Source organism: Homo sapiens, chromosome 9, assembly GCF_000001405.40.
Source record: "Homo sapiens chromosome 9, GRCh38.p14 Primary Assembly".
In the NCBI taxonomy this organism is placed as follows: domain Eukaryota; kingdom Metazoa; phylum Chordata; class Mammalia; order Primates; family Hominidae; genus Homo; species Homo sapiens.
In genome coordinates this window covers 133,777,220-133,792,924 of record NC_000009.12, presented here as the reverse complement: position 1 = coordinate 133,792,924, position 15,705 = coordinate 133,777,220, and the positions used below count along the sequence as shown (strand labels likewise).

General features: G+C 58.2%; 1 protein-coding gene across 9 annotated transcripts in view, besides 4 other annotated features; it reads left to right on the top strand.

Annotated features, from left to right (window-relative positions):
• The window catches only part of VAV2 (vav guanine nucleotide exchange factor 2), a 230,431-nt gene that overhangs the window by 199,400 nt on the left and 15,326 nt on the right, over positions 1 to 15,705 (top strand). For 4 of the 9 annotated variants that reach the window (NM_003371.4, NM_001411028.1, XM_017015110.2 and 1 more), the window contains 10 exons: positions 1,056 to 1,142; positions 3,582 to 3,667; positions 4,439 to 4,571; positions 7,040 to 7,149; positions 8,507 to 8,608; positions 9,334 to 9,422; positions 12,215 to 12,231; positions 12,986 to 13,007; positions 14,036 to 14,163; positions 15,462 to 15,536. In NM_003371.4, the coding sequence (NP_003362.2) occupies positions 1,056 to 1,142; positions 3,582 to 3,667; positions 4,439 to 4,571; positions 7,040 to 7,149; positions 8,507 to 8,608; positions 9,334 to 9,422; positions 12,215 to 12,231; positions 12,986 to 13,007; positions 14,036 to 14,163; positions 15,462 to 15,536 (849 nt within the window). The other 5 variants (XM_017015109.2, XM_017015108.2, NM_001134398.2 and 2 more) reach the window with 4 other exon arrangements.
• Positions 4,977 to 5,136: a silencer, noted in NCBI's record as "silent region_20465". NCBI's record gives its function as "represses an Ori minimal core promoter by ATAC-STARR-seq in GM12878 lymphoblastoid cells {active_cell/tissue: GM12878}" and the evidence as "EXISTENCE:reporter gene assay evidence [ECO:0000049][PMID:35858748]".
• Positions 5,423 to 5,975: an enhancer, noted in NCBI's record as "H3K4me1 hESC enhancer chr9:136652072-136652624 (GRCh37/hg19 assembly coordinates)". NCBI's record gives its function as "activates a minimal SCP1, AML or CMV promoter by ChIP-STARR-seq in primed H9 embryonic stem cells {active_cell/tissue: H9 hESC(primed)}" and the evidence as "EXISTENCE:reporter gene assay evidence [ECO:0000049][PMID:30033119]".
• Positions 6,247 to 6,656: an enhancer, noted in NCBI's record as "active region_29249". NCBI's record gives its function as "activates an Ori minimal core promoter by ATAC-STARR-seq in GM12878 lymphoblastoid cells {active_cell/tissue: GM12878}" and the evidence as "EXISTENCE:reporter gene assay evidence [ECO:0000049][PMID:35858748]".
• Positions 12,127 to 13,094: an enhancer, noted in NCBI's record as "H3K4me1 hESC enhancer chr9:136644953-136645920 (GRCh37/hg19 assembly coordinates)". NCBI's record gives its function as "activates a minimal SCP1, AML or CMV promoter by ChIP-STARR-seq in naive H9 embryonic stem cells {active_cell/tissue: H9 hESC(naive)}" and the evidence as "EXISTENCE:reporter gene assay evidence [ECO:0000049][PMID:30033119]".

Sequence of the window (15,705 nt, the reverse complement as noted above, 5' to 3'; positions counted from 1 at the left end):
GAGGGACCACGTGATGGGGTAGAAAGAAGTGGCACCAGCCAGGAGTTTGGGGCTCTTGGCATCATCACTGACGAGGTGTGGCTCTCGGTCAGTGTGTTCCCTTTCCTGCCTCAGTTTCCTCATCTGTCATGCAGAGGTGATGTTTTTCAGCCCTCCTGTCTCGAGGGCGGCCTCCCCGGCAGGATGGAGGAAGAAGGTCCAGAAACGCCCGGTGCCTGGATGCTGGGTGGGGGGTGGGGGGGGGGGTCCCTTGGGGGCTGAGCTCCTGCATGTATGTGCGTGCATGCACACACACGCTCACACACACACACCCTGCACAGCACAGCTTGCTCACACACACAACCACACAGTCAGACACACCCCACCCGGCACAACCTGCTCACATACACACACACAATAACACACACCCAATCACACGCACCCCACTCAGCATAACCTGCTCACACAATCACACACACAATCACACACACCCTACCCAGTACAGCCCACTCAGACACACATGTTCTCACACAATCACTCATACACATACACACCACAGCACAGCCCGCTCACACACACACACACATGCACCCCACCCAGCACAGCTCACTCACACATACACACAATCACACACACATACCCCACCCAGCACAGCTCGCTCACATACCACACACCCCACCCAGTACAGCCCGCTTATACACACAGTCACACACACCCCAACCAGCACAACCAGCTCACACACACAGTCACACACACCCCACCCAGTACAGCCCGCTTACACACACACAGTCACACACACCCCACCCAGCACAACCCGCTCACACACACCCCACACAGTACAGCCCGCTCACACACACATGCTGTCTCACACACACACACCACAGCACAGTCCGCTCACACATGCTCACACACACACACCCCACCCAGCACAGCTCATTCACACACAGTCACACACCCCCCACCCAGCACAGCCCGCTCACATGCACACACACCCCACCCAGTACAGCCTGCTTACACACACAGTCACACACACCCCACCCAGCACAGCCCGCTCACCTCTGCCTCTTGTTTTCAAGGACTTGGCGATGTACATCAATGAAGTTAAACGGGACAAGGAGACCTTGAGGAAAATCAGCGAATTTCAGAGTTCTATAGAAAATTTGGTGAGTGAGACTGACTCTTCAGGCTAGGGAAGGTCGATGAGGACGTACCTATAAAGTCACGTTCACAGCCCCAGTATTGAGTGAGCTCCATGGGCAGCCACACCATGGCTGCCTGTTGAGAGGCTGGTGCCCGGCAACTTCTGAGTTTGATCTCAGACCCCCAGCATCCACGCTTCCTTGCCCACGACAGCCAACCCAAGTGCCCTGTGCACTGAAGACTGCCTGTGCTCGGGGGGAGGGGGACGGGGAGGGGAGGGGACAGGGGAGGGACTGTATTCATTGCCCAGCCCCCCTTCTCCCCCAAGCCTAGACAGAAGACCCCTTCAAGTCCAAGAGGAGAACTGTGTCTCCCAGGGGCAGGAGACGCCCCCTGGTTCGTGGACCCCTGGCCCACCCTCACCTTGACTCTCCCCTCCAGGGGCAATGGACAGGGTTTGGGCCCAGGCTCGGTGGGGCCGGCAGTCGCCTCTGCTCCTCGGACCCCATCAGGCAGGGCTGCCACCTCCTGGGGCTCCCCAGAGTCTGGCCCTGCAGAGGCCAGGCTTGGGCTACCGAGTCAGTCACCTCGTCCTGCCTGGGGAGAGGGGATGCGCCACCCCAGGAAGCAAACTCCCTGGTCTGTGCTGACCGGAGCCGACTTCCCGAGGATCTGCTGGTTCTAACCTGGGCTTCTCCACCTCAGCACTGCTGACGTCTGGGGCTGGATCATTCTTGGTTGTGGGACCTGCCCCTGTGCGTTACAGGATGTGGAGCAGTGTACCTGCCTGCCACCCACCAGACACCAGTAGCACCCCCACCCCCTCAAGTAATGCCAACCAGATATGCCTCTGGACATTACCAGAGGGTCCTTTGGGTGGCAAAATTACCCCTGGTGGTGAATCACAAACATTTTCACCCTGGTGATTTCACTGACATGAAGCTGGCAGGGGAAGGTCCCCGATGGCCAGGCCACACCCACCCGGTGCCAGCAGCACAAAGAGAATGCCCTCCGCGAACGTGGGGCACGGAAAAGCACCTGCGATACGTCGGCGATGAAAGAAAAAAAAAATAAGCTTCTGAAGGGCATTATGATACTGCCCCCTTCATCTTTCATTTTAGAAAGAAATTAAAATGTGTGGGTGCAGAGGAGGCCAAGGACGGCCGCACCCTGCACCATCAGCACCTGGCGGGTCCGTGCTGCCGTGAGCTCCTGCGCGAGGCGGTCACAAATGCGTACAGTGAGCAGGACGTGAGGAGAAAAGTTCGTTTTGTTTTGTTTTTTAAGTTTTTACATAGAAGTAATACTTGTTCATTAAACAGCAAGAACAGGCTGGGCGCGGTGGTCATGCCTGTAATCCCAGCACTCTGGGAGGCTGAGGTGGAAGGATCACTTGAGGTCAGGAGTTCGAGACCAACCTGGCAAATGTGGTAAAACCCTGTCTCTACTAAAAATACAAAAATTAGCCAGGCGTGCTGGCGGGTGCCTATAATCGCAGCTACTTGGGAGGCTGAGGCAGGAGAATCTCTTGAACCCGGGAGGCAGAGGTTGCAGTGAGCCACGATTGCGCCACTGCACTCCAGCCTGGGTGACGTAGTGAGACTATCTCAAAAACGACAACAACAAGAATAAAACAGCATGGCCAGCAGGCGTCGAGCATCCCCATGAGCCAGGCCCTGTACCCAGTCCTGGCTCTGAATCCCATTGCCACAGGGAAGGTGGTGAGAGCTGAGATCAGAGGCCTGGAGCAAGTTGACTGGGACTATGTGACACCAAAGCTGTCCTTGCAGCCTCTGGGGCTGAGACCTTGGAAGGAGACACTGAGCCTGTGCCTCGAGCACCTCCCAGGCAGGGCCCTGTTCGTGTCTTGAAGCATTTTCCTCCACCTTTTCCTGTCTGTGTGGACACTTTGAAAGCCACGCAGGGAACATGTCAAGAGAAGCTCTCTCTGAATCAGAAGAGTCACAGAGACAAAACCAGACAGACAACGAAAATGAACCTCAGCGAACCACACAGGGGTCTGAGTCGAAGCCTCACCCTTGGCAGGACCCCGGCCCCACCCGCCCTGCAGCAGATAGGCGCTGTTTGTTCTCTCCTGAACGTGGGGCTTGGGCTTCTGGCTTTTCCGACCGGGTCCCGCTTGGGGCTCCACACAGCGGCGGCCTCTGTGAACACAACCGGCACCGTCAATCGCCCTTTGTCCCCAGAGCTGAAGGGAGCCCCTTGGCAGGGCTGGCCAGGAAAGGGAGAGAAGCTGCCAGGCCCAGTCCCTTCCCGGTCTTCTGCACCCTCCCTCGTCCATCCTGAGCACCAGCTGGGAGCCACAGGGGCTGTTTCCCTTCGTCCCGCCTCTGCTGCCTGTGGGGAGTTCCCTTGGGTGCACGACAGTCTGCCCTGCCCGTGCGGTCAGGAGAACTGGGGCTGCTCCAGCCCCGGCTGACGGCCCCTCTCCTTCTTCCCAGCAAGTGAAACTGGAGGAATTTGGAAGACCAAAGATTGACGGGGAACTGAAAGTCCGGTCCATAGTCAACCACACCAAGCAGGACAGGTGAGCAGGGCGCGTGTTGTGGGCTGGGTGGCGTCCCGCCAGGGTCTGGCTCTCCCTCCCAGGGAGCCACTCCTAAGTGGCTCTGGAAGCCAGGCCTTCCTGTGGAAAGAGCTGCCTGGCGGTGGCTTTGTGTTGTTCAGTTTTAATTGCTTCCTTCCTTCTCGTCAGCGAGCGGGCGCCACAGCAGTGGGGCTTTTGTGCCTGTGGCGGGCACCAGGCTGGGCTGGGGCAGCCAAAGATGAGGGCCAGGCCCCTCACTGCCAATGCTCAGCCTCCAGGAACCCAAGACAGGCCCAGAGTGGTCGGATGGGCTCTTTGCCAAATGACTGCCGGAGAGTGTCCAGGCGCACGGTGGCCCAGGCTTGTCCAGGGCCCTCCTTGTGCACCTACTGTGTGCTGGGGCAGGGGTCACAGCAGATCTGGGTCCCACCCTCTTGAGGCTCCCAGTCCAGCGCGGGATCAACTGGGAGTAGCCGTCGGGGGTCAGTGCTGCATGGGAGGCCAGCGTGGGGGATGCAGGAGCCCCTTGAAGGGCTCCTGGCACAGCCTCAGTCACGGGGGTAGGGAGCCAAGGAAGGCTTCCTGGAGAAGCAGTGTGGGAACAGCCGAGACCTGACCGAGGCTCAGCATTAGCCTGGTGAGCCAGGTGAGGGCAGGGCTCGCCCGGAGAGGGAGCCGCGTGCCAGAGCCTCAGGCTCAGCTCCTGCCGCCTCCTCGGAGCAGAGCACACAGTGCTGGGGTGCTGATCCCCCGCTGCGCTGCCTGGCCCAGGTACTTGTTCCTGTTTGACAAGGTGGTCATCGTCTGCAAGCGGAAGGGCTACAGCTACGAGCTCAAGGAGATCATCGAGCTGCTGTTCCACAAGATGACCGACGACCCCATGAACAACAAGGACGTCAAGAAGGTGGGGCCTTCCGGGTCCCCCCTGCTACCCAGGAACGTGGGGGTGGCCTGGAGAGAGGCACTGGGTTCCAGACCCCAGGGGAAGGGGACTCGAAGTCAGCCGCTGATGCTGGCCGGGTGGGTTGGGGTGGGCGTCTCCGCTCTGCAGGAAGGCTCCTCTCTGAGTCACTGCCTCGCCGTCGTGACCACTGCTCATAGCAGGCCTGCTCCTCGCCGGGCCCAGCGCCCCCCAGAAAGGTGGGCAAGACCAGAATCCCACTCCCCAGTGAGGCGACTGAGGCAGAGGGGAGAGGCCACCCCAAGGCCTCTAGTGAGGGTGGGACTTTCAACCTTGGCTTTCCATCTGGCCAGCCTGACTCTAGCCCATGTTGTCCCTTGTAGCAAGCAGGCTTTCCTCTCCCGTCCCACCCTGCGGTGCTTGGAGGAGGGCTGTGGGTAGGTCTGGCTGTGGCTTGTCCGAGACTCTACATGTAGCTGGCTGGGGCCTGTGGCTGCTGGGGTGGGGCCAGGGCTGCAGGGGTGGGGCCTGTGGCTGCTGGGGCGGGGCCAGGACTGCAGAGGTGGGCCTGTGGCTGCCAGCGGGTGGGGCCAGGGCTACAGGGACGGGGCCGAAGCTGCTGTGGGGCAGGACCATGGCTATAGGGCTATTGCTGGCTGGCTGTCTGGTTCAGTCCTGCTTCAGCTGAGGCTTCTGCCCATGGCACTTGAGCAGCTACCGTGTGCAGCCCTGGTGGGGTGGGGGGCGGGGGTCAGGAGCCCTTGTTCTGAAAGTCCAGTCCCTGGCCTCCAGGGCTGGCAGTGTAGCCCTCGTCCAGACCCAGCAAGTGCAGACTGGATGAGCTGTTGAGGGTGACCCTCCCTGCCCTCATGCCCAAAACAAGTAACTGGGGCCCATGAGGCAGTCCTGCCACCAGCACCCAACACTCTGGGAAGAAATTCCTTTCCCCACTGATCACCCCACCCCCAGCCTGGGCACTGGGGGGTGTTCCACCTGCCAGGGCTCCTGGCGCCTCCACACTGCGGCACCCACCACAGGGCCGGGCTTAGCCTCTCACTGACCGTCTTCCCCTTCCTCTCCTCTCCATGCTTCCTAGTCTCACGGGAAAATGGTAAGCACCTAGCGCCCAGGTCCTCCCACCTGCCTCAATCATCCCAGCCTGGTGCTGGCACTTCTGCCCGGAGCCAGGGGACCCAGGGGCCTGAGGGGCTGGGCTCAGGGTTTTCTTGGTCCTTCGTCCTCCACTCCCTTTCCCGATGATGAAATGATTTGTATTCATGATGAAAGGCTTGCCCGCTAAGACAGTGTGAAAGGAAAACTCCGTGATCCTCAGTCCCTGGAGCTCGGGGTCAGAGGCTGGGGTTTCTTGGTCTCTCTTCAGCTCTCCATCATCCTTTTTGTTTTTCTGTGTTCTCTCCCTCCTCCCTCCCTCTTTCTCCCCTTTTCCTCTCTCTTTCCTTGTTTCTTTCCTCCTCCCATCCCCGCTCCACGCTTCCCCTCTCCATCCCTCCCTTCGTTCCTCTTTCCCGCCATCTTTTCTAACCCAGTAGGCTCCTATTTGCCAAACTCTTTTTTCTGGACCACTTTGAAAGCCCTTTGTCCGAGAGCTCGGAGAGATGGCGAGGCCTGTGGGGTGGCCGAAGGGGAGGCAGGGAAGGGGGCAGTTGTGGGTTGCTCAGTCGGGGATGGCTTCACGGGGGGTGCCCCAGGCCCATGGCTGTTCCCTGCCTTTTTGTTGTTACTGTTCTACTTCAGAGAAGTGAGGTTTTTTTAGCATCACATTTAGGAAGTGAAAGTGGGTGGTCAGGCCTCGTGGAGGGGCCCTGGGTGGGGCCCTGCGCTCATCCTTCCTGGGATCCTGCCCCCGCTTAACATGCATCTACATATGCACTCGGTGGAGCATCCTCGCACATGGGCGCAGGCAGGAGTGCAGACCTGCCCAGGCATGTGTGTGTGCACCCACAGGAGAGCACCCACAGGAGAGCACACACAGGAGAGCACCCACAGGAGAGCTCACACAGCATGGGTGCATGTGCATCATACGTGTTAGTACATGTGTGTACCTGCAGGGACAGATACAAGTGTGTGTGTGCACATGCTCACAGGAGCACTGGGCACACTCATGCACAGGTGCACACGCATAGACACGCGTGCAGGCACAGATGCACACCCATGCACGCAGGAGCACACTAGTATGCATGCAGAGGTGAAGGCACAAGCGCATATGTATTCTCACGTGAGGGTATGGGCACACAGCTATACATGCATGCATACAGAGGCACGTGTGCACGTACAGCATGGGCAAGAGAGCAGGTACACACGTGAGAACATGTGTTCACACAGGCACAGGCACCTGTGCACATATGCATATACACACGTGCACATGCTGCACAGGCGAGAGTACACGTGGACATGTGCCAGGATGTCTGAAGCCGTGTCTATTGCAAGCATGGCCCCTCTCCCCCCTGCAGTGGTCCTACGGCTTCTACCTAATTCACCTTCAAGGAAAGCAGGGCTTCCAGTTTTTCTGCAAAACAGAAGATATGAAGAGGAAGTGGATGGAGCAGTTTGAGATGGCCATGTGAGTTCCAGGGCGGCAGCCCCCAGGTCCCTGGCAGATGAGTTGTATGGGGGGTGGAAGCCCAGGTGGATTGTGTCTGTGGTTCCTCTCAGACCAGGGGCGGTGGGAGGCAAAGTTGGAACGTCAGGGACACAGACAACCTCCATCACCCCTGGGACGCCAGCCTCAAGCAGTGACATCCTCTTTAACAATCAGTCCAGAGTGAGAGGGCTCTCCCTCTGCCACAGCCTGTCCCAGGCAGGCTCCGCTGTCCTGCTGGAATGAGCCATCCCACCCTTGAGGCTGAGCCTGGCACGCCCGGCCCACAGAGCAGTGACCGGCTGGGAGTGGCCATGATGCCAGAGGATTCCTGGTGACCCCAGTCTTCAGGGTCTTACGGGCTGGCGGCTTGTCACCTGTTTTTGAAGCCACAGAACTATTTTTCCATGAGATCCAAGAGGACTCATATCCTAGATATGTGAAACAGAGAAAGATGATGAACGGGTTCCCGGAACACGGACCCTGGAGGGCCAGCAGGGTTGTCTGTGCTTGAGCTCTGCGGGCAGGTGAGCTGGGGCCTGCAGGCAGGTGCACTCGCCTCTCTGACCGTTTCTTCTGGTGAAATGGAGAGGGGAAGGCCTGTGTTCTGGCCTTTTTGGGAGGATCGAAAGGGAACCATTGGACACAGCAGGGCCAGGGCCTGGCTCGTGAGAATAGATGCAGCCAGCTGGTTTGCACCCAGGCTCTGTGGGGGAGGCCTGGGGCATCTTCTCTTCGGCCACTCGCTTTCCATGGCCTGTAATTTTCTCCCCAACATCCTATTGTGCAAAAGTTCAAGCGTTCATGGAAGCTGAAGCGACGTGATGGTGAATAGCCGTCTTCTCACCACGCTGCCGCCATCCGCGTCACCCCACCCCACCCCAGCCATCCAACAGCGGGTCTGTGTCAAAGTGAATTGCACACCAGTGCAGCCCCCCTGAGTACCTCAGGGGGCCCAATATTTGTTTAGCTTCTGAAATTTCAAGCTTATATCCAATGAGGCAAACAAATCTTAAGTATATGTTTTCTGAGTTTTAACAAATACCCACACCTGCCCACATCCAAGCCCAGTCAGGACCTTAGACCACCGTCCCCACCTGGAAGGTTCTCTCAGGCCAGTGCAGCAGTGTTAAAGCTTCTTCTCTGACCTGCCTTCTACGAGCAGGGAGTCTGGGCCCTGAGTCTGCCCCATGTTGCGGGCAGAGCCAGGCTTGGAGTCCAGGCCCTCTCGGATTCTGCACAGCCTGGGTCCGGAGCCCAGCTGGTTCCCAGGATGGCCACATGGTGGGGCTCGGGGAATCCAGTGGGTGTAGCATCTGCTCTCTTTCCCTCCTGCCAGGTCAAACATCAAGCCAGACAAAGCCAATGCCAACCACCACAGTTTCCAGATGTACACGTTTGACAAGACCACCAACTGCAAAGCCTGCAAAATGTTCCTCAGGTGTGGGAAACCCCCTGCTACAGCCCTCACCTCGCTCCACGCCCAGCCCAGGCCCCTGAGAGAGCTTAGTGTTCTATCTGTCCCATGTTCCCTGTGGGAGGCCCTGAGGGGTTAAGGGAGTATACCCCACAAGAGTCAGGCCCGTGCCAGGCATGGTGGCTCAAGTCTCAGCACTTTGGGAGGCTGAGGCAGGCGAATCGCTTGAGCCCAGTAGTTCAGGACCAGCCTGGCAACGTGGCAAAACTCTGTCTGTACAAAAAATACCAAAGTCAGCCAGGCGTGTTGGCCTGCTCCTGTGGCCCCAGCTACTCGGGAGGCTGATGTGGGAGAATTGAATAAGTCCTGGAGATTGAGCCTCCAGTGAGCTGTGATGTCGCCACTGCACTCCAGCCTGGGTGACAGAGTGAGACCCTGTCTCCAAAAAAAAAAAAAAAAAAAACGGCCCAGCCAAGCCCTTAGAGTTTCAGATCTAGCCGGGAGGTGATTGTTCCTGGGTGCCCGGGATGCTGTGTGGGGCAGGGAGGCAGGCTGGTGGAGGTAGGGGAAAGCAGGTGTCAGGCTGCCTGGTAAGGGAGGGTCCTGGATACTCAGGGCTATGAGGGATGTGTGTGCTGGGAGACAGCCAGCCAGGTGAGCCTGGGTGGGGACAAGGGCCTTGACCTTGGCAGAGAGGCATGAGGAGCCGACCCCAGCCTCGACCTCACCTCCTGCCCTCCCCTGTGCAGGGGCACCTTCTACCAGGGATACATGTGTACCAAGTGTGGCGTCGGGGCACACAAGGAGTGCCTGGAAGTGATACCTCCCTGCAAGTTCAGTGAGTACCCCCCTCACCCCCCCACCCCAGTCCCTGGCCACGCCTGCTCACTTCTGCCCCCTACCACCTGGGTACGGGCCTCGGGCACCATCTCCCACGGGGCAGCGACCAGATGAGGGCACCAGTGCTCACGTGCCCCAGAGCAGACACCAGACGCCTGCCGCACGTCACACACTTAACAGGAGACACAGCCGGGATGAATTCCATTCCAAGCCCTCTCTCCTAATGGGTACTTGAGGACCCCTCCCCATCTCCTGCATCCCCTGCCCCACTCCAGGAGGAAGCTTCTAGAATCTCCACCCCCAAACACGGCACAGAACATTCTCAACAGGTGCATGGAGGTTTCTCATCACAGAAACACCGGTCACCCTGGGTTCTCCCGGCGGGTGAGGCCTGGCCATCAGTAGCTATAGCCATGTTAGTAAATGGTTCAGACACACACACACATGCACGCATACACACATGGCACTTACAGTGGTTCCCTTCTGTTCATGCCCATTTAGGGAAGCTTGAGGCTCAGGGAGGGGAGAGGATTGAGCCAGGCTGGCAGTGGGCAGAGGCAGGGATGCGCCCTGGAGGCTCCTCTGAAGCACCTTGGGTCGGGGGCATACCTTTGGGGTTGTGCCCTGCTCAGGGCAGCTGGACAGCAGTGCAAAGCCTGAGACAGTTCTCTCCTGAGAGGTTTCAGACATCAGGATGTCACCTCCATCATCAGCCCCAGAAACTGAGGCTTGAAACTTTCAGCAATTTGTCTACACTTATTAGCAGAGCTTCTATTCAACAAAGAGCCCCCGGTGGCCCCAGGCCGAGTCTCTGGGTCTTGTCTCCTTGAGCCTCCTGAAGGTGTCTTAAGGCAGAAAAACAAGTCAGGCCAGCTTGTCACCCAGAGATTGTCACCCAGAGACGCCATTGCCCAGAATACATTTTGAGCTGTGATTTTAGATCAATGGTTAATTCACCATTTACTGTGAGTGCCAGCCCAGTACCCTAACCTGGGGAGAGGGCCAGAAGGTCAGCCCAGACCCCCTTGTCCCCATCACAGGCCCAATGCAGCCCCCTAGCTGTGCACAGGATCCCGCAGCCCCTGGAGTTAGTGCTGGAGGATTCCGCAGGCAGCCTGTGGCCTGAACGCAGCTTTTCAGCTGTGCCCATCAATACTGCCCTCTCGTGGTCGCATGTCCCCAGACGATGGCTGCAGCTACTTAGAATCTTTTTTTGCTTTCTCTGATTCTAAAGGTAATGTTTACTTATCAAAAATTTGGAGGAAAAAAAAAGAAATGAAATTTTAAAGAAAGTATCACCCGTGAACTTACCTAGAAATGATGAAAGGCAATGTTTCGGTATATTTCCTTCCAAGTTTTCTTTTTTTGTAATCTTTCTGTTCCTCCCCCGCCCCGCCCCCGCCGGATTATTAATTACTGATTTTCCGTAGAAAATTTGGAAAATGTAGAGAAGTGTAAAGGAGGAGAGAAAAACTACTCCTCCTATCCCCAGGCAAAGCCAGCTGCCACGAGGCCCCAAGCACTGTCCTGCTTTCTGCAGACGCGCACACCCGCCCACCCCATCTCTGTATGGTTTTGAATTTTTCTTAGTATGTGTAGTTGGAACTGCAGGTCTTTTGGAAGCCAGCATTGCTGTCTGCATTCTCCCATGTCCTGGCAGCGCCCTGGCTGGCACCAGCTCCATTCTCCCCAGGGGCCTGTGTCCTTGCCCCCCTCCTCATCCCTCTGCTGGGGGACGCCGTCCTTGCCACTTGTAGCCATTTTTCCCTTAACAGTGTCCAAGCTGCCTTCCCTCTGATCCAGGCTTCTACCTTTGCTCTGGGGTTTGGCTCTGGAAAGTGCTCCTTTGACCATTGTAGCCTTCACCCCTGGGCTCTGCCGAGGCTGGTTTAGCTGTTTGCTGCCCATGGGGGCCGAGATGTCCCGGAGAGATGCTGGCCTCTCCTGAGAGCCTTTCCTGTGGGAAGCCCCCATCAGGCACAGTCATTGCTGCCGTCCAGCTGCCCCCCACCCCTGACCCCTGCCCACTGAGCTGGAACCTGTTCTGTGGTGTCTGTGGATACCTCTGTCTGCCCAGAGCTGTCTGCACTGTGAGTGCTGGGTGGTGTGGAGGTCACGTCAGCGATGTGTGTGAGCTGTTGGGCTCCTTTTCCTCCTTGCCTCCTCTGGTGGTAGGTGGCAGCCACCTTGGCAGATGGCTGGGCCCTAAAGGGCCTTGGGAACATTGGCTCTCCTGGCACCTAAGGTCTTGTGTCCTTGAGCGTGTTGGCACCTGGGTGTCTGAGCTGAGGATGGCAAGCAGGTAGCATGCGTACCAATGCCTCCTCATCACTTGCCCCAGCAGGCATCACTAAGCGGTTGTGGCAGGTAGCATGCATACCAATGCTTCCTCATCACGTGCCCCAGCAGGCATCACTAAGCGATTGTGGAAATCTCCCCTTTGAGTGCCAGGTACCACCCCATGATCCAGGCAGCTGCCGCCATTCAAAAGAGGTGGCCCAGGCGGGATAACCTTTTTGCCAGCTCAGGTCTATTACCCAGTCCAAGTTCTCCCATGGGCCCCCTAAAGCCAGAGCTCAGAATTTGCTGCCAGAAGTAACTGAGAGGCTTTCACAGCCATGAGCTCGGACCTGTGTGTCCATGATCCATGTCCAAAACAGACCACTTTGTAGCTTGGCTCACTTACCATCTTAAGCTCGGCCCAGAGGCTCGGGGCGGTGTGAGTGAGAGCTGCACGGGGCCTTGGCGTCGGTGGCCTCCCCTCTAACACCTGACCTGCTTCCTTTCCAGCTTCTCCTGCAGATCTGGTAAGTCCCCAGAGTGTTTCCCCTCCCTCTGCCCCACCCCCGCCACATCCCTGTGTGCGCAGAGCCAGAAAGACCCAATTGTCTGCCTTTCACCACTCATGGGGCCACACCGGCTTGGATGAGCCACTTTTGGTCACAAGATGCCTCTGCTTTCCTTGGTGGGTGTCATTAGAGTCCTCCTAGGGGCCCCAGCGGTGTCTTCCGATCCCAGCTGCCCGCCTCATTCCCTTGCCCAGTGGCTGCTCGCGGCTATGGGTACAGCTCTGGGACCTGCACCAGCCCTCCTGCCCCCGAGTCCCCCAGTTGGCTCAGAGCCCTCTGTTTAGCTGATGTGGGGATGGAGTCACTTCCAGGGGCTTCGTGTGCCCCTCGAGCTATGGGGTCCACATGAACCAGCCTCCATGGAGGATGGAAACTTAGTCGTATTTGGCACTGTGTGTCCCAGATGGACACCACAAAGCCCAGGCTCAGAGCAGGTGGTCAGGGCAGGCTTCCTGGAGGAGGTGGGGGCCCGTGGTAAGGAGTGGGAGAGAGAAGGGCACAGACCTTCCAGGAGTGGAGGTGCACAGAGGTGAAATATATTGCCAGGGTGGGGGCGTCCCATAGGGAACAGTGTCCCTCTCCTCCCCTGCTCCTGCCTTGACCCCTCTATCTAGGAACTAGTGGGGACAGGGAGGGCGGGGTGCGTTGATGCATGGGCCACAGTCAAAGAGCAGCCTTCCCTCATCTCTGTGTTCTGTCCTTGTCCTCACAGGACGCCTCCGGAGCGGGACCAGGTGAGTCTTCTGGACCTGGGCCCTCTGCTATCACCCATGTCAGCCATCACCTGGGAGCTGAGCCAGGGCCTAGGTGTGGTGATGGCCAGGTCTGCCCAGCCACCAGACGCTCCAGGCTCCTGGATGCTGCCATCTGGGCCCCCTCCCTCTTGCCTCTCTGGCCTCTATGGCACCTCCTTGGGAGGTGGCTCTGTTTCTGATAAGGCAGCACCAGGCTGTAGGGACAGGACCCAGCCTGCAGAGGAGCAAGGGCCTTCTAGCCAGGGAGGGCCACCGAACTGCAGCCAGAGACCTGAGATCAAAAGGCGCTGCTGTTCTCCCACCACGTTCTCCATCCCCTTCCTGCCTTGCTGCGGGTTGCTTAATGGAAACGTGCTTCTAGACACAGCGTAAAAAGCATCGTGTTCTCTGCAAACTTGAGTGCAGTCCAGGCAGTGCTCAGTACAGCCTCACCCTCATCGGCAGAGGACAAAAGATGAAAAATGCTGCTGCTGCTGCTGGGCCAGGCGGGAGCTGGGCTGGGAGAGCCATGGGCTCCTTGAGAGCTACAGGCAGGGCTGGGTCAGAGCAAGGCTTGTCTAAGAGCAGCCTCCACATTCCCTGGAGGCACAGCCAGGACCCCCATTTCAGGCCCAGAGCACCTCTGTGAGCTCTGTGGCCTTGGGCAAGCTGCTGGGCCTGCTGACCCGTCGCCCGTCTCTGACACGAGGGATCCCCCGTCTTCTGCCCCGCACAGCTGCCTGTGGGCCACAGATCTGAAGGGTGTTTGGAAGAAAACACAAAGTGCCATCTGAAAATAAGTTGCTGTTCCATGATGACCCCTGAATCTGTCTATTGCATAAATAATTATGATATTTATCAAAAAGACATGAGGCTTATGGGAAGGATTTAGGGAAGGGAGATGCAGGCGCAAGGCTGTGTGTGCTGGGGGAGGCCGAGCTTGGTGATGGGGTGGGCTGCGGGCCGGGGCCAAGTCAGTCACCGAGTGAGCTGCTGAGTCACTGAGTGAGCTGTCCTATCCTTTGCAGGTCCCAAGATGGTGGCCATGCAGAATTACCATGGCAACCCAGCCCCTCCCGGGAAGCCTGTGCTGACCTTCCAGACGGGCGACGTGCTTGAGCTGCTGAGGGGCGACCCTGAGTCTCCGTGGTGGGAGGTGGGTCCTGGGGCCCGGGAGGGTCGAGGGTCCCCGGCTCCAGCTCCTCCCTGCTCCCTGGGGCAGAAGCATAAAGTCCTGCACATCCCCAGGCAGAGGCAGAGAGGTGAGAGACCACCAGGGAGGAGGAGGCACAGGGGGCCTAGCAAGGCCTCTCCTGCCTCAGTGCCCCGTTCTGCGCCATGGCATGTGTTCTTGGGAACCTTAGCTTGGGCTCCCCGGGTGTTTGCTTTGACATGGTAGGCGATGCAGCGTCCCTTCCCAGGAGAGGCCCTCCTGCCCTGGCACCCAAGGCCTTTCTCCATTGTCCTCTGTCCTTCCTGCCTCTGTTGTGTCTCATAGGCCCTCAGGCTTCTGCCCTGGCCATGCCATGCCCACCCTCCTCCCCACCCCTACCTCAGTTCAGGCCAGCAACCTTCGCATGATCGTGGGGTGAGCGGGCAGGTTCGCTCCTTCCCCAGGTGGGCACAGATGTTGTCATCGTGATGTCGTTTATGGTTCTGAGCCAGGAATGTGCTGCTCTGTTTCCAAGGCCCACAGAGTGGGGACCTTTGTGGGCGTTCATCCCGGGGACCTTTGTGGGCGTTCATCCCCACCTTCAGCAGATGGCTGGGCTGTAAAGGGTTCTGGGCACATTTGCCCTTCTCTTGACACGCTGAGACCCCATGTCGTTGAGCATGCTGGCACCCGGGCGTCTGAGCCAAGGACTCAGACCCCCAGTCCTCGGCCCCTCTACCAAGCCCCAGTGCTCAAGGGAGCCCCAAGACCCACAGGTCAGCAGAGCGCCACGGGGCCTCGAGGGCACTTAGCCCAGCAAGGTAGCTTCCCGCGGGAGCTGACATTAGAGCCGAATGTTTGTTAATGTTCAGGTTACAATGATGCTGTGGTCATTTTGTCATGGTCATTATCAGTCCATACTCGGTGATGGATTTCTTGTACCAGACCCTACATTCATGTAACAGGAGGTTCAGAGGGTGCAAAAGGCCATCTGAGCTGTGCAGAGTATCAGTCCTGCTCTGTCCCTCCCCGGGTATGACCAGGGCTGCCAGCTTCTTGGGGGGGCCTTGTGGAGGTGCTTTGGTGCTGTGCCAGGCCTTAGTGCTCTCATGTCTAGGGTGGGAGGCCCTGCACCTCCCTGCCCTAACTGGCTGCCGGGTCAGCTGAGGTTGGGAAAGAAGACATTGGCTCTCCCACCCTCCAGGAGCGGGATTGGCATACGCTGAGTCCGTCTAAATGGCCCCACACTCCCATAGGCCAGGCTCGGCCCCCTTGTCCTAACCATCTCTTTCCTCTGCCAGGGTCGTCTGGTACAAACCAGGAAGTCAGGGTATTTCCCCAGCTCATCTGTGAAGCCCTGCCCTGTGGATGGAAGGGTGAGTCCTTTCCCACAGAAGCTTCTGGAGCACGGTGGCCTGGGTGCTGAGGGTTCTGGGAGCTGCCTCCTCACGTGGACATTTTTGGCTTGTTCAGGACATCCTTGCTAAATTTAGGCTGCTGTGAGCTGCTTCCTGGAGCTGGAGCCCAGAGAGAAGATGGGTGGGG